Source organism: Homo sapiens, chromosome 17, assembly GCF_000001405.40.
Source record: "Homo sapiens chromosome 17, GRCh38.p14 Primary Assembly".
NCBI classification, from domain to species: domain Eukaryota; kingdom Metazoa; phylum Chordata; class Mammalia; order Primates; family Hominidae; genus Homo; species Homo sapiens.
This window is the reverse complement of record NC_000017.11, coordinates 65,045,736-65,066,417: the sequence shown is the minus strand read 5'-3', so window position 1 is coordinate 65,066,417 and position 20,682 is coordinate 65,045,736. Positions and strand designations below refer to the sequence as shown.

Sequence of the window (20,682 nt, the reverse complement as noted above, 5' to 3'; positions counted from 1 at the left end):
TCCCTACTCTAACCTCTGCTCTCTGGCTGAAGAAGTGATTGCTTAGGCTTGTGGGAATTAGTAAATCCTTCCTCTCTTCAGAGTTAAGATTCTGGATATAACCCCAAATAGGCATTTTTTTTTTTCTTATTGCTGCATCAGGCCCTTTCCACCAGAAACAGATCCTGTTTGGGGACACACCTGTGGCTGTGAGTGAGCCTGCGCATGAGACAGAGAGCAACCATGTTTAAATCATAAAAGGAAGGGCTTTGGAAAGATACAGAGAGAGCATTCTGACAGTGACAACGTTGCTAAACCTTCAAAGGGCTTTTAAAGAAGTTTTGTTGTTCCTTCCTCAAAAAACCTAAAACGGAACCTCCCATTTATGGACAAACACTGAGCCTGGGGGTTCTGTAATTTAATCCTACAATAAATCTGTGTGTGTAACTCCCAGTTTACAGATAAGAAAGGCAAGGCTCTGTTCTATTAACTGAGTTCTCCCTGGGGTTCTCCCCACTGTACTACATCCTTCTCTGGAAAACCAAATGAATAGCAAACAATCTGATATGGGCCAGGTGCAGTGGCTCAAGCCTGTAATCCCAGCACTTTGGGAGACCGAGGCGGGCAGATCACGAGGTCAGGAGTTTGAGACCAGTCTGACCAACATGGTGAAACTCCATCTCTACTAAAAATATAAAAATTAGCCAGGCGTGGTGGCGCACACCTATAATCTCAGCTACTCAGGAAGCTGAGGCAGGAGAATCGCTTGAACTTGGGAGGCAGAGGTTGCAGTGCACCATTGCACTGCAGCCTGGGTGACAGAGCAAGACTCCATCTCAAAAAAAAAAAAAAAAAATCTGATATGATCCATACTGGTTTCCACAGAAAAGTCGATTCCCTCGCTATCTTTAAAAATATATATATGTATGTATATATGTACGTATATGTATACATTTGATATAGAGATGGGATCTCGCCATGTTGCCCAGGCTGGTCTCAAACTCCCGGGTTCAAGTAATCCTCCCACCTTGGCCTCCCAAAATGCTGGAATTACAGGTGTGAGCCACCACACCCAGTATCTCACTATCTTAAGGGAGCTTTTCCTATTATAGTTCTGTTAATGAGCAAAGAAAGGGGAAACAATCACAAATACACAATTGCTTGCCACACACCCAGCACCTTCCTTTGTTTTTATTTTCTCCTCTTCTCCTCTTTGGGCCTGGCATAACCTTTCCACAACCAGGAGAAAGCTAATAACTAAAGCAAATGAGGGCCAGGTGCATTGGCTCATGCCTGTAATCCCAGCACTTTGGGAGACTGAGGTGGGCGGATCGCTTGAGCCCAGGAGTTTGAGACCAGCCTGGGTAACATAGTGAGACGCCCTCCGATCCCTACAAAAAATTTAAAAATTAGCAGGGCATGGTGGCATGTGCCTGTGGTCACAGCTACTTGGGAGGCTGAGGAAAGAGGATTGTTTGAGCCTAGCAGGTAAGGCTGCAGTGAGCAGTGATCTCACCACTACATTCCAGTCTGGCGACAGAGCAAGACCCTGTTTCTAAATAAACAAAGTAAATGAGGGACCTCAGCTACAGTGCCTCATCTGCTAAGCCCTTTAATTCTGTCATTCTGACTCAGCAGTTGCTGCCTTTCCCTGAATCCTATCGTGAGCAGGCCTTTCTTTTCTGTAGCAGCTGACACAGGAGTTTAAAGAAAACTTATGATATTATTTGCACTGGGAGCCCACGTGTTATGGTCTGACAAAGGCTGCATGGACCATTTCTCAGCACCCTCTGAGCCCTTACTGCTCGATGATAAACTCAACCAGAGGACATGCCCTGGCATTTTGCACTGAGGTAAAGGCCGGGTCTACAGGCCATGACATGTGATGCTACCTGTAGACAGAGCAAGCTAGCCAGGAGTGTGGCTGCTGGAAGGGGCAGGTCCAAGCTTGCTAATCCAGTGTTCCGAGGGAAAGAAAACTGCTGTCTGCTGCCGGGTTGTGAGCAGAAGATCTTTACATGGAGGAATGAATTGAGACTGCCAACTTGAACTTCACTGGAGAAACAGAATTTACATTCAAGCATCCTTAGGCCAGGCACAGTGACTCTCCTCTGTAGTCATAGCACTTTTTGAGACCGAGGTGGTAGGCTCACTTGAGGCCAGGAGCTCAAGACCAGCCTGGACAACAAAGTGAGAACCTGTCTCTACAAAAAATAATTAGTCGGGTGTGGTGGTCTGTAGTCCCAGCTACTTGGGAGGCTGAGGTAGGCCCCTTGAGCCTAGAAGTTGGAGGCTGCAGTAAGCTGTGATCATACCATTGCACTCTAGCCTGGGTGACAGAGTGAAACTGTCTCATAAAAATAAACACATAAATAATTTAAAATTATCGTTATCCGTTTCTGGCAAGGCGCAGAGCATTGACAGGCAATAAAATACTAAAAATGTATCCTTCTGCTTTAAAAGCTGTAAGTAAAAATAAAGGAGAAGGGGTGAGCACGATGTTTTGAGTTTTTCCGAATCTCAGATTTACAGGCAAAGCCTTGTGATGAGTGTTACATACAGATTGCCCTTAAACCTATCTGACGCAGTAAGCAAGGTGGAAGGATTTTAGGAGTGCCAGTGTCCCTTTAAGACAGTACCAGCTTCTGACTTTGGAGGAGCTGAGGTCTCAGCTGGTCAACAGCAGCCCATAGGTCTTTTTTGGAGGCTGAGAAAAAATACAACCAATAATTAAAGTCATGTTTTCGGTTATTAACAACAACAAACAAAACCACCACCAATTTGATTCCACATGTCTAGTTTCATACAAAATTTTCCACATGAGAGGCTTATTCTGGTAAAGGCAACATCAAATTTCATTACACACACACACACACACACACACACACACACACACACAAAAGGGTTTCTTTTTAAATCTTCCTACGGTAAGTGAAAAATGTGTGGGGCTTGTGCATCATACAAATAAACAAACAAACAAGCTTGGCTCCTCTTTTCTTATTTCTCCATCAGCCACCTGGAATATTTTACAAACCAGAGCCTGAGTTCAAAGTACAGAACATCTTACCAGGATCTGTCTGAGCTGGGGAACTTCAAGATGGCAGTCAGCCTGAAAGGGGCTGGAAAAATAATAAAGTACTGAACTCTATGGTGCCTGGAGGTTAAGTCCAGTTAGCTACTTGTCTCAGGTTTGAAATTCATACACTTGGGCATTCTGGGCACTACGGCAATTTTTGTACATCAAAAAGAGCAAGGGGGGCCAGGCATAGTGGCTCATGCCTGTAATCTCAGCACTTTGGGAGGCTGTGGTGGGAGGATAGCTTGTGGCCAGGAGTTCAAGACCAGCCTGAACAACATAGTGAGAGCCTGTCTCTTAAACAACAACAACAACAGAAAAAGTCAAGAACACTGGGGCAGGGTGCAGTCATTCATGTCTATAATCCCAGCACTGTGGGAGGCCAAGGCAGGAGGATCACGTGAGCCCAGGAGTTCAAAATCAACCAGGGCAACATACTAAAAATTAAAAAATTTGCCAGGCCTGGTAGGGCACACCTGTAGTCCTAGCTACTCAGGAGGCTGAGGTGGGAGAATCGAGGCTGCAGTGAGCTATGATAGCGCCAGTGCACTGCAGCCTGGGCAACAGAGCGAGATCTTATCTCCTACCAAAAAAAAAAAAAAAAAAGCACTGGACTAAGCAGCTTCCAGTTCCAGCTCTGCAACTGGCCACAGTGAATGAGGCTTTCAGAGAGTCATTTGCTAAATGGGAGCGAGGTTAATGTTGGGTGTTCCTAGTCGGGCTACTGTGAGCAGAGAATGAGATAAAGTAGGTCAAAGTGCTTTGAGGCATTTAAAACATGACACAAATGCAAGGGATTTGTATTTTGGGAGGGCTTGGGAATTCCCTTCCTTTCCCTATGGAAGGTAAGAAAAGTCTACGCCTGTTTTATCTGTAAGGAAGGGTTAGAATCCACCTATTTTGTACTGATGGTGAGACAAAAGAGAGTTTCGTAATAAGAAGGCTGGATTAACACAAGGTTTAACCATCAAGTAATGTGACAGATTTTTAAATAAACATCTAAATGGGCGTTGTCTCATCCTGAGTAGTAAGTAGTCACCTTGGCAGGGGAAACACTTATTTAAATTATATTTCCCATCAAAAAAAATTTTTGACACCTCTTTTGGAACTGTTCCTAGAGCCTTTGGCACATTCTTCTGAACATGTCTGAGGGTGACACATTTTTTGTCCTTTGTGGATGATTCTGATTTTTGTAAACAGCCCAAAGTTATTTGGCACAAAGATTGGCAAATAAGCTAAGTAAGACCTTTTTTTTTCATTGAAAATAAACTGTAACTATAAGAAGCCTATCTTTCCAGAAGAGTTAGAAATAGATTTCAAGACTGGCAGTATTGTTGGAAAGAGCTTGTTTCTTTCTAAGGTGACAAGAGGAGAAAAGCTATTTGGAAATGTATTTCGTTTTTAATCACACCTTTAATTATTTATCTTGCAAGACGGACACTGAACTGAGTTTCCAGAAAGAAACGAACATTGCAACTAATCAACAGCTGCAATTATTTTATCACAGCTCCACAGGGCATCTGAATCTATTTGCATATGGATTAACTGGCTGGCAACAATACAGACGCTTCCAGTGAGTTAACGTCTGGGTCTGTTGGAAATAGAGCATCCAGCAGATTCAATTCTAACTAGTAGACTTTATACTCCCTTAAAAAGTTTGGATTTTTTTCAGTTATAAAACAATGTATCTGAAAATGAAAATATCATTAATACGATTGCAATGTATAACCTGAAGCAATGGCTAGATTTCCTTCTGTTGCAAAGAATTTCAATTGTTAGTATTATTTTGAAATAAACACAATGGCATTTGCATTCTTTGAATGTTGCACACTGTGAGCACTTCAACCTTAAATGATGCCAATGACTTTTTAAAGAAAATATTTTTCTGGCTGGGCACGGTGGTTCACGCCTGTAATCCCAGCACTTTGGGAAGCCAAGGTGGGCGGATCACCAGGTCAGGAGTTTGAGACCAGCCTGGCCAACATGGTCAAACCCTGTTTCTACTAAAAAACAAAAATTAGCCTGCCATGGTGGCGGCGCCTGTAATCCCAGCTACTCGGGAGGCTGAGGCAGAATTGCTTGAACCTGGGAGGCGGACTAAAAATACAAAAACTAGCAGGGCATGGTGGCAGCTCCTGTGTTCCCAGCTACTCCAGAGGCTGAGGCAGGAGAATTGCTTAAACCCGGGAGGCAGAGGTTGCAGTGAGCCGAGATCACGCCACTGCATGCTAGCTCTAGATGACAGAGCAAGACTCTGTCTTGGAAAAAAATAATAATAATTTAAAAATAAAATAAAATAAAAAATATATATTTATATTATATATATTACAAATATATAATATAGATTTTTTTCCCCAATTCATTTTTTTATTGTGGCAAAATTCACATAACATAAAATTAATCATGTGACCACTTTACAGTGTAGAATTCAGTGGCATTTAGTACAGTCACAATGTTCTCCAACCATCATCACTATCTATTTCCAAAAACATTTTCGTCATCCCAAAACGAAACTCTGTACCGTTAAGCAGTCTCCCCACAACTTCCCTCACCCCATCTGCTTTCTGTTTTATGGATTTGCCTATTCTGGACATTTCACATAAGTGGAACCTTATAATATGGGGCCTTTTGTTTCACTTTGCCTAGTATTTTCAAAGTTCATTCATGTTGCAGCATGTGTCAGCACCTCATTCCTTTTTATGGCTGAATAATTGCAATGTATAGATATGCGACATTTGGTTTATCCATTCGTTCATCGATGGACATTTGGACACCTTTTGGCTATTCCTTTTTTGTTGTTGTGGGTTTTTTTAACTTTTATTTTAGGTTTAGGAGTACATATGCAGGTTTGTTATACAGGTAAACTGCTCATCTCGAGTTTGGTGTACAGATTATTTAGTCACTCAGGTAATAAGTATAGTATGCGATATGTTTTTTGTTTTGTTTCGTTTTGTTTTGGTTTTTGAGACGGAGTTTCGCTCTTGCTGCCCAGGCTAGAGTGCAATGGCGTGATCTCGGCTCACTGCAACCTCCGCCTCCCAGGTTCAAACAATTCTCCTGTCTCAGCCTCCTGAGGAGCTGGGATTACAGGCGCGTGCCACCATGCCCGCCTAATTTTTGGTATTTTTAGTAGAGATGGGGTTTCATCATATTGGCCAGGCTGGTCTCAAACTCCTGACCTCAGGTGATCCGCCCGCCTCGGCCTCCGAAAAGTGCTGGGATTACAGGTGTGAACCACTGCACCCGACCAGGTATTTTTTTTTTAATCCTCTCCCTCCTCCTGCCTTCCACCCTCAAGTAGGTCCCAGTGTCTGTTGTTCCCCTCTTTGTGTCTTGTTTTTTAGAGATAGGGTCTCACTCTGTCACACAGACTTAGAGTTCAGTGGCATGATCATAGCTCACTGTAGCCTTGAGCTCCTGCATTTAAGCAATCTTCCTGCCTCAGCCTCCTGAGTAGCTAGAACTACAGCTATGTGCCACCACATCTGGCTATTTTTTTTTTTTTTTTTTTGAGACAGGGTCTGGCTCTGTTCCCCAGGCTGAAGTGCAGTGGTGCAATTTTGGCTCACTGCAGCCTCCGCTTCCTGGACTCAAGCGATTTTCCCACCTCAGCCTTCTGAGTAGCTAGGACCACAGGTGCACACCGCCTTCCCCTACTTTTTATATATTTTTTTGTAGACAGGGTTTCACCATGTTGCCCAGGCTGCTCTTAAACTCCTGGCTTAAGTGTTTGGATTACAGGCGTGAACCACTGCAGCCGGCTAATCTCTTGGCTACCATAAATGGTGCTGCCATGAACGTGGGTATACAAGTTTTTGTTTGAACACTGTTTTCAATTCTTTTTAGTATTTTGGGGGGTATACCCAGGATAAAATTACTGGGTCATATGGCAATTCTATGTTCACCTCTTTGAGAAACCACCAAGTCTCTAACTCATTTTTATGTTTACAATTTACAAGGTGTCTTGATCACCAGTTAGAAGAAGCTGGACAGCTGCAGCCAAACCCCTAGGTTGGACCCAAAGAGGTCTCTTTTTCTTTCTTTCATTCATTCATTCTTTTTCTTTTTTTTTTTTTTTGAGACAGAGAGTCTCACTCTGTCACCCATGCTGGAGTGCAGTGGCCTGATCTCGGCTCACTGCAACCTCCGCCTCCCACGTTCAAGCAATTCTCCTGCCTCAGCCTCCCGAGTAGCTGGGACTACAAGCGCCCACCACCACTCCCCACTAATTTTTGTATTTTTAGTAGAGATGAAGTTTCGCCATGTTGGCCAGGCTGGTCTCGAACTCCTGGGCTCAAGTCATCTGCCTGCATCAGCCTCCCAAAGTGCTGGGATTACAGGCATGAGCTACTGTGCCCGGCCTTCTTTTTCTTTCTTTCTTCCTTCCTCCTTCCTCCTTCTTCTTCTTCTTCCTTCATTTGACTTTCAGGTCAAAGAGGTCTCTTTTTAAAAACTACACTGACTAGAACAGCCAGACTTGATGTGAGCCAAGTTTGTTCCAAGGCAAGCTTACACGCAGGGCTTTAAACAGCTTTCTCTGCTGCTCTGCATGTCACGACATGAACTGGCTGGGCAGGAATACCTTCCTGCCTCCTAGGCATTCTTGGTTTTCCATTATATTACACACACTTCTGAAAAAAGATGTTAACTACCTAACTTACAAGTTTCTCTCCTCTTTGTTGGAGTTCAGATTAGCACCTGGGGTCAATGCAGAAACAGTGCTCGGGGACAGGTTCTATGCCCCAATCCTGGGAGAGGCGAGTCCTTGCATGGTTAGAGAACAGGGCCTCCCAAACACTAGATGAGATGATGGAAAAATTCTCCATCCAGGGCAGGCTTTTACCATATATTTTGCCTGACAGCACTGCTCAGTGATTCTGACTCTTATCAATCCACAGATATTGGAGGTGAGCCTACTCTACTTGTATATTGTAGGTTGTCCACCCTCTGGGCTTGCCAGAGCCACAGGAGATAATCCTACTACAGGCATTGTTTACTGCAGCCAATCTACTGAGTCGAGGCTTCTCGGTCATTAACCCAACCCCAGGGAGTAACTGATTAGTACCGATTTTAAAATTTAAACCTGTTCGGGAGTTTCTTGGAATGCTGACCTCTTACCTCCGCTCCCTTATACATACGAAGTTTCTGAGCCACAGGAGCCCAAAGCTACGTTGCATTGCCCAAAACAGGGACAGACCAAAGTGGCTTTTTCCACTTGAAACTAAATACTAAGAATGAAGAGGTCGGCTCTCGGGGGTCCCGGTTAAGCAGTTTCTCTGCCAACCCACAGCTGTCACTTGTGGCTTGTCTCCTGGCCTCCTTTCAGGTGTCCTGGCCTGAATCTGCTGTTAGGACAGAAAAAAAGTCCCTGGACGGGTCATATCCTCTGTAATCTGGCAGGAAAGCTAAAATTTGCGTGCTCCCATTCCTCGTTGTGTTTGTGTATCTGCTTCCTTGTTGGGAAGAGCCTACATCACAGTGTCCGGTGTAGGGGATTTTCACCATGACCTCACCCTCCTGCTGCCACTCGCTAATTCCGGCGCGGCCAAGCGTCCCTGAAGTCACATCACAGCCCAGGTGGAATGCACGAGTGAGCCATTAAATGCCCCTGGTAGCACGTCTCAAGTGAACATCAACTCCAGTTCTTTCCCCTCACAGAGAGCCCTGGTAGGGGTCTGAAAATGCCAGAAAGAGCTGGAAGTGGGGGTGGACGACGTCTGGTTACCGTTCTGGGATTCGGAGACTAGAAGGTCAAGGGAGTCACTTTAAGAAAACACACCAGGCCTGGGCCTGGTGGCTCTGTCTGGAATCCCCGCACTGTGGGAGGCCGAGGCTAGAGGATCGCTTGAGCTCAGGAGTTCGAGACCAGCCTGGGCAACATAGGGGGGAGCCCCTGTATCTAAAAATAAATACAAAAAATTTAGCCGGGTATGATGGCACACGCCTGTACTCCCAGCTACTCGGGAGGCTGAGGCGGAAGGATGGCTTGAACCTGGGAGGCGGAGGTTGCAGTGAGTCGAGATCGAGCCAATGCACTCCAGCCTGGGCGACAGGGTGAGACTCCGTCTCAAAAGAGAAAAAATAAAATGAAATAAAGAAAATGCACCAAAGGCCTGCCAGGCTCACGCCGGCTGTTCTGTTCGAATAACTTTCGAGTCCGTGGCCTCGAAATGGGTCGGGTGGGCGGTGACAGCGGGCAGCGGGCGCGCAACGCGGGAGAAAGGGAGGCTAAGTGGGAGCCCAAAGAACCGCGTCCGGGACCTGGTCTCCGGCCTCCCGGCCTTGGGGAAGGAGCCCTTCTGCCCACAAGTGGGCTCAGGCCATGAAAGGGAAACAGAAAGTCGGGCTCCCCAGCCTGGCCCACGTGACCGCGGTTCCTCAGCCCTCCCCGCGCGCCCGGCCGCGGCTGCGGGCGCGGGCACCCGAGCGACACATCGAGCTCGTGACTCGCCGCCCAGGGCGGGAGGCGGAGAAGCGGCCGCGGCGTGCGAGCGCGCCTCCGGGAGGCAGCGGGAGCGCGCACGCTCCGGGGCCACCGCCCCTCCGGGGCCGGGCCCGCCCTCCTTCCCTCCCTCCCTCCCCCGCTGTCCTGGCCCGCCCTGCCCGGCCCGCCCTGCGAGTCAGTTCGCTGGTTCCCTCCCTCCCTGGGCGCGCTCGGGCCGCCGCCGCGCTCCCCGCCCTCGAGCCTCGGTGCCGGAGCCGCCCGCCGCCGGAGGAGGAGGTGGAGGGAGCCGGAGGGGCCCGCCGAGGCGGCGGCGGCGGCGGCAAGATGGCGGACTTCCTGCCGTCGCGGTCCGTGCTGTCCGTGTGCTTCCCCGGCTGCCTGCTGACGAGTGGCGAGGCCGAGCAGCAACGCAAGTCCAAGGAGATCGACAAATGCCTGTCTCGGGAAAAGACCTATGTGAAGCGGCTGGTGAAGATCCTGCTGCTGGGCGCGGGCGAGAGCGGCAAGTCCACCTTCCTGAAGCAGATGCGGATCATCCACGGGCAGGACTTCGACCAGCGCGCGCGCGAGGAGTTCCGCCCCACCATCTACAGCAACGTGATCAAAGGTGCCGGGCCGGGAATGGGGGCCGGGGGTTAAGGGCAGGGGGGCTGGGGCGGCGGCGGGTGCGGGGCGGGGCACCGCCCTGGTCCGCTGTGTCGCTGGCGAAGGAACGGGCCCGGCGGGCGGGCTGGCGGGAAGGGGGCGCGCCCCGGCAACTGGCCCTGCCCGCCCGGGGTGCCCTCGCGCCCCAGGGCGAGAGGATGCTCGGGGTCGCCCTGCTCTCCCGCTTGTCTCCCCGGTGGGCGTCACGGCCATTCCCCCACCCCCCACCGCGTCCTGGTCTCTCCCCCTGCGAGAGGGAAGTGGGGCGAGCTGGGTGCTGCCTCGGGGTGTGGGCAGACCTCTCCTGTCCTCCCCGCTGCGGATGAGGCAGGAACACCAATAGCAGCCCTAGCCGCTTCACCCCCATCCCCTGCTCGGGCGATGTGGGCCGAACCTCGCTACCCTGGCTGGGTGACCCGAGTCACATGGGGTCGCATGCGCTCCCAACTCCCTGCTTCCTTGGCCGTCTCCTAAGCAAGCGAGTTCTGGAACCGTCGCAATAAGGGAACTTTTTGCCCGAGACTTCTTGTCAAGGGCGTAGGGTGACAGCCTCCTTTTGGGCGAGAATATGAAACTTGAGGAGTGTCAGGTTGACTGTACTGGAATCAGGAGAGAGTGGACCCATACAGTTAGCATGAAAATGTAGCATCTGTGCTTTTTCGCCCCAGTGTCACGGTCAGGTAGGATGTTTGCGTGTGATTTCTGTGCAACACGTTCCACTCTCCTTTTCGCTAAGTAACTGGGGGCTGGCAGGAAGGGAGTACCACTGCTTCTATTTAGATGAAATGTAGTAGTAAGAAGACTGGCCTAAAAGTCATGTGGATCCTGTACAGATGGAGACAATGAATGAGTGTTGAGTTAGATAATTGGCTCGGCTCTTTATTGACAGTAGTTTTAAAATTAAACTTTGTTCTTAAGTGAAAAATAAACAAGTTGTTTATTTCTGGGCATTCAAAGAAATCGAAAAGATGGTTTTTATTTTGTCATTTGAAAGATAATTAACACTCGTTTCTGCGTGTCAAGTATGTTCTATAGAAAAGGCATTTTGGCAAAATTTAGGTGCAGCGCCTGGTAACTCAGGTGCATCTGGATTTTATTTTATCTGGGGAGCAGTTTAGGAGTTTGCTACAGATTGCAGGTCTTTTTAAGTGGGATTTTTGTTCAGGAAGTACATAAGGGACTTCTGCATGTCACCCCCCCGCCCCCTCCCCGCCAACCGCCTCCCGAGCTTCCAGCGTTTGGGTAAAGGAAAACTGCCTGAAGAGCCAGGCATTATGGAGTAATGAATTAGAGAGAATCACTAGACCACAGCCAGCTCTAGCCCTAGTACCTCTGCAGTTAAACTATAAAGAACAGTTGTATTTATCCTGCTGTAATGTTTAGCTCAAAACTAATTAAGGTCTCTTTCAAGGCTGCAGACTCTGCCTTGACAGTCCTTAATTGAAGGTACCTTTGTAACCTGATGCAGCTGAACTTAAGGAATTATGTTAATGAATAGCATCAACATGTTAACTGACTGTGAGCCTGGTAAACACCTCGTTCTTAATGTACACTGAGTTGTAAGTGTGATCTACGTTGAGCATTGATTATGAGATGATGTAAGTCATCAGGAATCTAGTTTTTTCAAGTTGACATGAAATTTGACAGTAGAACAGTTTCTCAGGCTGGGCGTGGTGGCTCACTCCTGCAATCCCAGCACTTTGGGAGGCCAAAGTGGGAGGATGGCTTGAGCCCAGGAGTTCCAGACCAGCTGGGCTACATAGCCAGACCTCGTCTCTATTAAAAAACAAAAACAAAAAAACCCCACCCGTTTTTCAGTTATTCAGATGACTTCCTAATAGCCAAGTGACTGTTCAGATTGATCAAACTTAATAAAAGTAATAGATCAGTGATAGGAAAAATGAGTTTCAACTAACCTCTGTGAGTTGGAGTCCGACTTTGTATTATTTTGCAGTTGATCTTCCTCCCTTTTAGGGAAATTGAAGGCCATCCTGTAACTTAAACTGGATTGAAACTTGGGCTGGAAGAAGTTTTTAAATTTTGAATGTGTTGCTAGAAGACTCAATGTTGGGTTAGGGTGCCGAAGCAACAAACAGAACATGGAGCTATAGTAGTTGGTTCTTAGTGTTTCATAAATGAACATCTTTTAGGCTCATAAAACCTTGGTTGTGTCTGTTTTCTTCTGAGCTTGGACATTGTTGGTCTGTGCAGCATAACTTCTTTTTCTTTCTTGAGTTAGATTGTTTTTTGACTACCTTCTATCCTAGAAGTTATTTTATAAATTGGAACATGTTAAAAATCCTTCAGAGAGAGGAATTGTGCTAATAGTATTTGCTTTTCAAGGCTCTAATTTTAAGACAGTGAGCAACTGTTATTTTTTTTAACCTCTGAGAAGTTACATTTGTTTTCGATGTTGGTCTTCATTTTTGAAGAAGGTTTGTCTAGGTTAATTCAGAAGTATAAGGAAATAATACTGGAATAAAAACTTATGATAATATGTAATGACTCCTCTCCATACATTTTTTTTCTTCTTTTTAAACAAAGGTATGAGGGTGCTGGTTGATGCTCGAGAGAAGCTTCATATTCCCTGGGGAGACAACTCAAACCAACAACATGGAGATAAGATGATGTCGTTTGATACCCGGGCCCCCATGGCAGCCCAAGGAATGGTGGAAACAAGGGTTTTCTTACAATATCTTCCTGCTATAAGAGCATTATGGGCAGACAGCGGCATACAGAATGCCTATGACCGGCGTCGAGAATTTCAACTGGTAAGAGATTTGCTCTTTTAAAACGTGTGGTTTTATTTTAATGATGTTTAGTAATACAGGTTGCACATCCCTAATGCGAAAATTCGAAATGTTCCCAAATCTAAAAGTATTTGAGATGGAGGAACAGACTGAAAGGCTAAGGCACAGACCTAATGTGTCCTAGTCTCTAATGACTACGTGTAAAAATAGTGTATAAAATTACCTTTAGGCTACATATCTTAAGGTATATATGAAACATAAATGAATTTCTAGTTTAGACTTGAGTCCCATTCCCAGCATATCTCATATGTATGCAGATATTTCAAAAATCTGAAAAAATTCAAAATCCAAAACACTTCTGGTCCCAGGCATTCGGATAAGGGACACTCAACCTGTATCTGATTTTAGCACACTTTTTTCACTGACTTCCATAATTTAATGTATCTATCCAAAATTATAGCCTCAGAAATTTGTTTTTTTGTTTTTGGGGGGTTTGTTTTGAGACGGAGTCTCTGTTGCCCAGGCTGGAGTGCAGTGGTGTGATCTTGGCCCACTGCAACCTCTGCCCCCAGGGTTCAAGCAACTCTCCTGCCTCAGCCTCCTGTGTAGCTGGGTCTATAGGCGCGTGCCACCACACCTAGCTAATTTTTGTCTTTTTAGTAGAGGCAGTTTCGCCATGTTGGCCAGGCTGATCTTGAACTCCTGACCTCAGGTAATGTGCCCACTTTGACCTCCCAAATTGCTGGCATTGTGCCAGGCATTTTTCCCCTTTTTTCTTTAACGAGACTACCCATAAAATGCTTTGTAGCTGTTACACAGCATTGAAGACAGGTTTGGAATAAAAGTATCCAATCCAGGTTAAAGATACAGAATACAGTTGAAACAAATTTTTAATCAAGTGTTTTGTAATTTAACTGTGAATGCTGTGATTGGGTTTTATTTGCCAAAGATCAGAAAGATTCCAGCAGTGATAGAAATCTAGACTGTGTGCAATTTGGAGGTAGTTCAGATCTGAAGTGTTTTACTCTAATATGATTAAAATGAAGTGACAGTTAAAAGTAAAACTGCTGGCTGGGCACGGTGGCTCATGCCTGTAATCCCAGCACTTTGGGAGTCTGAGGCGGGTGGATCACCTGATGTCAGAAGTTTGAAACCAGCCTGGCCAACACGGTGAAACACCGTCTCTTCTAAAAATACAAAAATTAGCCAGGTGTGGTGGCAGGCACCTGTAATCCCAGCTACTCAGGAGGCTGAGGCAGGAGACTCGCTTGAACTCTGGAAGCGGAGGCTGCGGTAAGCCGAGTTCGTGCCACTGCACTCCAGCCTGGGCAACAAGAGCAGAACTCCATCTCCAAAAAAAAAATAAATAAGCTGCTTAGGAAGTTGTTTGATGATGTCACCAACATTAATCCACATTAATGGGTGTGGCTGCAAAGCGATGTACAACCAGCAGTCCTTGCTGTTATTATTTATACTTAGAAGCAGTCTTGCCTTTTAAAAGTTCCAGGAAAGTGTTCACGATAGCTTTTTATAAAACTGACACCTTAATTTTGACTATATCTGAATTATGGCTTTTATATCTGTCATTCAACTAGCATTTGATTATTTACCGTCTTGTATAGTTCTCTTCTATCATGTTTGTATCTTGTCTTTTCAAGTAATGTGTTTATTTCTGAAAGGCAGGGACTGTCTCACATTATTGTTAAAATTACGTAGCTGCCAGTATTGCATGTTGAAAATGATGAATTTAACTTGACAAATGACCTCCATCCAATTCCCAGATTTCTGGTTAGTTTTGTCCCTTGATCAATGTTTATTACTTTATTTTTGGTAGATTTGCTTGCATGAGTTCTTCCATATACCCCTTTCCATCGCCCATCACTCTACCTCCTGTTTTTTGTTTTTTTGCATTTTTTTGAGAGTTTTGTTCTTGTTGCCCAGGCTGGAGTGCAGTGGCGCGATCTTGGCTCACCTCCGCCTCCTGGGTTCAGGCGATTCTCCTGCCTCAGCCTCCCAAGTAGCTGAGATTACAGGCATGCGCCACCACACCTGGCTAATTTTGTATTTTTAGTAGAGACAGTGTTTCTCCATGTTGGTCAAGCTGGTCTCTAACTCCTGACCTCAGGTGATCTGCCTGCCTTGCCCTCCCAAAGTGCTGGGATTACAGGCATGAGCCACTGTGCCTGGCCATCTACCTCCTGTTTTTAAGTGCTGCTTATTCTCCTTTCTTCTTAGTTCATTTTCTCAACAAACCACACACTTTCAACTCAATTTTGTCAGGCTCTATTCATCCTTCCAGGTCAGAGAAGAAACATTCATCTGTAATAAGCATACAGTGCATATGGATTAAATGAATAAATAAAGAACTGCATACCTGAAAGTTCTCTGTGGGGAAGTTCCGTATTTGCCCTAAGTCCATTTAATTAAAGTTGTGTTTCATGGACAGTTTTTTAATTTGGAAGCTGACGTCTAACTGTCTCACATCAGGACTGTCATGTCCTCATTGTTGAGAAAGCATCCCTAAGTATATCTTTGTGATTAAGAACGAATAGGTAAAACCACTCAGGATGAGGACCTGCTTGTTGTTGACTTGAGCCAGTTGATCCTTAAGGAGCAAAGAAGTCCTCAAAGATGAGGAGAGATAAGTTCCAGAAATACTTTTTTCCATGATGAAAAGTAGAGACAAGAAAAGAGGAACAGAGCAAGACCTAATTTTAAACTTCTGGAGGACAGAGATTCTTTTTTCCTGAGTCTACGCTCAGCATTGTTTTTTGTTTTTTTGTTTTTGTTTTTTAAGAGAAGGTCTCACTGTTGCCCAGGCTGGAGTGCCCTGTTGTGATCATAGCTCACTGTAGACTCAACTCCTGGGCTCAAGTGATTCTCCAGCTTCAGTCTCTCAAGTAGCTAGGACTACAGGTGTGTGCCGTCACACCCAGCTAATTTAAAAAAAAATTTTTGTAGAGACGGAGTCTTGCTATGTTGCCAGTGCTGGTCTTGGACTCCTGACCTCAAGCAGTCCTCCTGCCTTGGCTTCCCAAAATGTTGGGATTATAGGCATGAACCACTGTGCGTGGCTTCAGCATTGTTAATAGCACCTGACACATAGAGATGCTCCATTATTATGTTGACTTAATGACTCTTAAACTCTTGGATGTGCTGTGGTGCTTGGCATAGTGTCAGGCACTGAGAAGGCACTTGGCTTACTTAAAATTTTCCTCAAAGTCATCATCAATTCCATCTACTCATCTACATGCAGCAGCTCCCCAAGTTCTGATTTTTCTACCTCTGTAACGTCTCTTGCATTCATTCCCTCCTTTCCTCTATTTTGTGTTCTGCTACCTCTTGCTTGGACTCCAAGGCAGTCTTGTTCAAACACAGCATTGGTTTGCTCAGAAAGCTTTGGTGGCTCACCATTGTCTTCAGAACAGAGCTCAGCTTTTTTGTGGGAGTAAAGACTCTAGCTAGCTTACCTGTGATTCCAGCAATATATTTCATTAGGCCACTGGACATACTCTGTAATCTCTTGATTCCCACATACCCTAATTTTTTGCTTCTATAGCTCTCATCATGCGTAGTCCCTCTGCCAGAATTATTCTTTACCCTATCTGTTACTAGGTCTTACCCTTCACTTAATGTAGTGATAATCACACTAAATGTGGCCCATGGACCCCATGGACTGGAATGCTTGTTAAAACAAACAAGCAGATGCTCAGACTTTATACCTGAGGATCTGATTCTGGATTCTGGGATGGGACCCAGTGATCTGTGTTTTCAGCAAATAGCCATAGGTGGTTTGGATGAATTTGCTCCATGCCCCCTCCCTTTCCCCAGGAACAGTGCCTTAGGGGCTGTGTCTCTTTATTTGAAGCATCTCCAGTCTTCTTGGCTAGAATGGAGATCTCCGTGTCCTTTGCTTTCCCTAGCATGCTTACTCCTGTCACTCCTCACAGTACCCATTATGTGTGTTAGAGTCACAGCTTTCATGTGTGGCTGTCAGTCATGTAGAAGTCCTTTGGTATGCCTAGTTTGTCTTTTTCTCTCCTACTAGCATAGTGCCTGACACTTTTATTTCCTCGTTTTTCAGACATTCTTAATTACAAAGATGTTCTAAAAAAATAAAATACCTGTAATCCCAGCTCTTTGGGAGGCTGAGGCAGGCAGATCACTTGAGGTCAGGAGTTGGAAACCAGCCTGGCTGACATGGTGAAACCCCATCTCTACCAAAAACCAAAACCAAAACCAAAAATTAGCCAGGCATGGTGACATGTACCTGTAGTCCTGGCTACTCAGGAGACTGAGGCACGAGAATCGCTTGAACTCAGGAGGTGGAGGTTGCAGTGAGTGGAGATCATGCCACTGCACTCCAGCTTGAACGTCAGAGTGAGACCCTGTCTCAAAAAAATAAAAATTAAAAAATATGTAATATAATTTAATTCTACATTAAGTTCCTTCTGGGAAATATGGATTATTTCTATAATAGTTTCCTAATTTTCTAGGAAGTGGACAGTTCTTGTGTAATTATAATTTTTATTTGGGGGGGTTGAAATGTGTTTTGTTATGTTTAGCAGCATATTTTTGAATTTTGGATAGGAAAGGTAAACATCAGAAGAAATAGAGGTTAGCAGATAAAATAACTAAAATTAAAATTAACCTTTTCGTTTCAACTAATGATTTGATTATTAAACTTATTAATGCACATTAAAAACTGACAGGTTTTAAGGCCCTACATGACTTAACATTTTGCCTAAGATGAACAACTGCCCTTTAATCAATTTTCGGGACAAGGGATAGGGTGTTGATAACACAGCTTAGGTTTTTAGCAGACTACTCATTTGTTAGTAATAACTTTGGGTGTAAACATGAATGTTTTTCTTTCTAAGTTCCCAAAGGTAAACATTTCCTTTTTTGGTTAGTTCCATCATGGGTCAGCTAAATAGCTTACTGTGGAAAAGAAAAATACAAGATTCACATTCTCGTTATAACTTAAGGTACCTTTCTAGTTATTATAAATTAGCATACTGAGGATAATAGATTGTAAGAAGTGGCCTGTTTTAGTACTGAATTAAATATTTGAAATACTCTACTCTGGCTGTACATTCAACATAGCCTGCCACTGCACTTTTGAGTTACCCTGTCTTTAGAAAACCTTCTTATGTGACAATAGCTAGATAATTTGGTAACTCAGATGAATAAAGAGATGGGAGTCAGGGGTTGGCTGGATGATACAATTGGAGATATGGATGAAAACTGACAAAATGGCTAGGAGTCATTTCCAACTATTTTTTTTTGTTTAATTTATATTCACTTATTGAGAAATAAGGCAACACTTGTTACGTAGGACAGGACAGTGTGTGTGACAGTGGGAGGAACATCCCACAGCTTCCTACTTTCTGTAAACAGTTTAACATTGTCAGCATTAATACAACTTCCTGTAATGGCCAGTCTGTCTTTGCAATTCCTGAAACCAAAGTGTTTTTGCTAATCATGGTACCTTCAGTTAGACTTAATTCTTTTCTTTTTGTGCTTGAGGTTACTCTTCTTGAAGCCGATAAGATAGTGTATTCATTAACACAGAGATTTACTCCCTCAATCTGTGTAACAAAGTAACCATTTAGCTCCATGATTGGCCTGTAAAAAGGGGAGGTCCAACTAAGTATTCTAGAAACTTCAGTTTCAGCTAATTTTTTTTATTTATTTATTTGCACTGCAGCATGTATTGGAAATATAATACAATCAAGAGTCATTTGAAGCTCCTGTAGTCCCAGCTTCTGGGGAGACAGGAGGATTGCTTGACCTCAAGAGTTCAAGTCCAATGTGGGCAACATAGTGAGGACAGCCCCCTCCCTCTTAAAAAAAAAAAAGAATCAGAGTCATTTATTAATTAATGCTAATTTGGATTTGCTTTAAATATTAAAGAATTGCTACTTTCAGTTGTAAAATACTATGTTTCTTTTGGATGATTGGTCCATTTTCTCTATAAGTATAGTCAAGCAAGGACTTTGAGTTGCTAAAAACCTATTGGTTATCTTTTGATTCTAGGATTAGTGTTAAATATTTCATCCCATCTAAAATAAAGATTATATATAACATTAGAGATAGTAGAGGTTTTTATCTTACTTTATTAATATTTTTTAGAGACAGAGTCTCACTCTGTTACACAGGCTGGAGTGCAGTGGTGTGATCATAGTTCACTGTAACCTTGGGACTCCTGGGCTCAAGTGATCCTCCTGCTTCAGCCTCCTAAAGTGCTGGGATTACAGTAGTGAGCCACCTCACCCAGCCAGAGATAGTAGAGATTTTAAAGTTGAGTTTAATTTCCTTTTGATGAAATTGATCAGATGTCAGAGTGGTTACATTTTATCCAAATCTTGTAAACCCAGAGCTTTATGTTTATTTACGTTAAAAATGAAGTTTTTTTCTTTTTAATTAATTTCTTTTTTAAAATTTCCGTCAGTTCCTTTAAGTTTACACTTATAGTTTTAATACAACTTTGTGAAGTGTGTGTGCATGCACACATAGGTGGTATCACTTGTATTCTATTATGTTGAAATTTTCATGTTCGCATTTTTTTGGGTGAAAACTTGACTGGCTGTAGGATGTCTGGGTTCTTGGTGCTAAAGCTTCCGGAATTGGAAAATACTGTGCTGCTTTCTATATTACCTTTTATTGCTAAACAAAGCTAGGGGCACAATAATTTATGATTCTCTGAAAATGTTTATTAAACAACTAAGAGATGGAACAAGTAAATAGTTTTGTTATGAAAAGTAGACTTTAGTTTCAGAACTCTTTACCTAGAGCGTGGACCTAACCCAGGAAAAAGGTTTGTGAGCTTACTTTAAAGAAAAGCATAATGGCCAAAGGACTCCTTGGATTGAATGTTCCCTGCTTATCTTTCACAGATATGCGCAGCCAACCAAGTTGGGGTATCCAGTCCTATTAGCCCAAAACAGGTGCCAGTTTCTTTCTTCAGAAAATTAATTCAGGCTGAGGAATGCTTGAGGCCAAGAATTCCAGAACGGCCTGGCCAACATAGCAAGATCCTGTCTCTACAAATAATTTTAAAAATTAGCCAAGCGCAGTGGCACGTGCCTGTAGTCCCACCTACTTGGGAGGTTGAGAGAAGGAGATTGCTTGAGCCCAGGAGTTTGAGGTTGCAGTGAGCTATGATAGCACCATTGCACTCCAGCCTGGCCAACAGAGTGAGATCCTGTCTCAAAAATAAATAAAAATAAAATTAATTCATAGTATTGATAATTATAATAATTGTTTAATTTAATTATAATAATTGTTTAATATCTTACGTTTTATAACAACATTTGCTTTGCACTTTTCAAATCCCTATCACATTCATGATCATATAGTGCTATATTTAAAAAGGAGAAAGAATCCTGAAGTGTCAGGTCCACAAAAAAGCAAAACAAGATATACTGTTATCCGCATTTCACAGATTAAAAAATGGAGACTCAGAAAGATCCCTTGAGATGCTTCAGTTCACAGACCTAGTAAATAATAATAGAATAGACACCGCAGTCCCAATCTGCTGACTCCTAGTCCACAGCTCTGGCCACCAAACCATTTTACTAGCACTCAAACATGGCATCTGTGGAGCATTCTTCTTGTCTTTCATTCCCAACTTCTTCTGACCACCACCCATACATACAAATAATTAACACTCCCCTATTAAGTTTTAGCACATTATTTTAAGTGCATGTAAGGTTTTATTTAAGAATGTTTGGTGTTACACTGATAGTCACGTAGTTATTTTTATATCCTGAACTTTCCTAATA

At 44.0% G+C, this 20,682-nt stretch overlaps 1 protein-coding gene across 2 annotated transcripts in view, besides 4 other annotated features; it reads left to right on the top strand.

The window, feature by feature from the left end:
* Positions 1,687 to 2,653: an enhancer, noted in NCBI's record as "H3K27ac-H3K4me1 hESC enhancer chr17:63059883-63060849 (GRCh37/hg19 assembly coordinates)". NCBI's record gives its function as "activates a minimal SCP1, AML or CMV promoter by ChIP-STARR-seq in naive H9 embryonic stem cells {active_cell/tissue: H9 hESC(naive)}" and the evidence as "EXISTENCE:reporter gene assay evidence [ECO:0000049][PMID:30033119]".
* Positions 9,391 to 9,900: a silencer, noted in NCBI's record as "silent region_8859". NCBI's record gives its function as "represses an Ori minimal core promoter by ATAC-STARR-seq in GM12878 lymphoblastoid cells {active_cell/tissue: GM12878}" and the evidence as "EXISTENCE:reporter gene assay evidence [ECO:0000049][PMID:35858748]".
* The window catches only part of GNA13 (G protein subunit alpha 13), a 47,452-nt gene continuing 36,447 nt past the window's right edge, over positions 9,678 to 20,682 (top strand). The window contains exons 1-2 of one of the 2 annotated variants that reach the window (NM_006572.6): positions 9,678 to 10,107; positions 12,690 to 12,916. In NM_006572.6, the coding sequence (NP_006563.2) occupies positions 9,825 to 10,107; positions 12,690 to 12,916 (510 nt within the window). In that variant the 5' untranslated portion in view covers positions 9,678 to 9,824. Of the gene's footprint in view, positions 10,108 to 10,643; positions 10,826 to 12,689; positions 12,917 to 20,682 lie in introns of those variants that run through there. The other variant, NM_001282425.2, reaches the window with a different exon arrangement.
* Positions 10,181 to 10,440: a silencer, noted in NCBI's record as "silent region_8858". NCBI's record gives its function as "represses an Ori minimal core promoter by ATAC-STARR-seq in GM12878 lymphoblastoid cells {active_cell/tissue: GM12878}" and the evidence as "EXISTENCE:reporter gene assay evidence [ECO:0000049][PMID:35858748]".
* Positions 18,120 to 18,753: an enhancer, noted in NCBI's record as "NANOG hESC enhancer chr17:63043783-63044416 (GRCh37/hg19 assembly coordinates)". NCBI's record gives its function as "activates a minimal SCP1, AML or CMV promoter by ChIP-STARR-seq in naive H9 embryonic stem cells {active_cell/tissue: H9 hESC(naive)}" and the evidence as "EXISTENCE:reporter gene assay evidence [ECO:0000049][PMID:30033119]".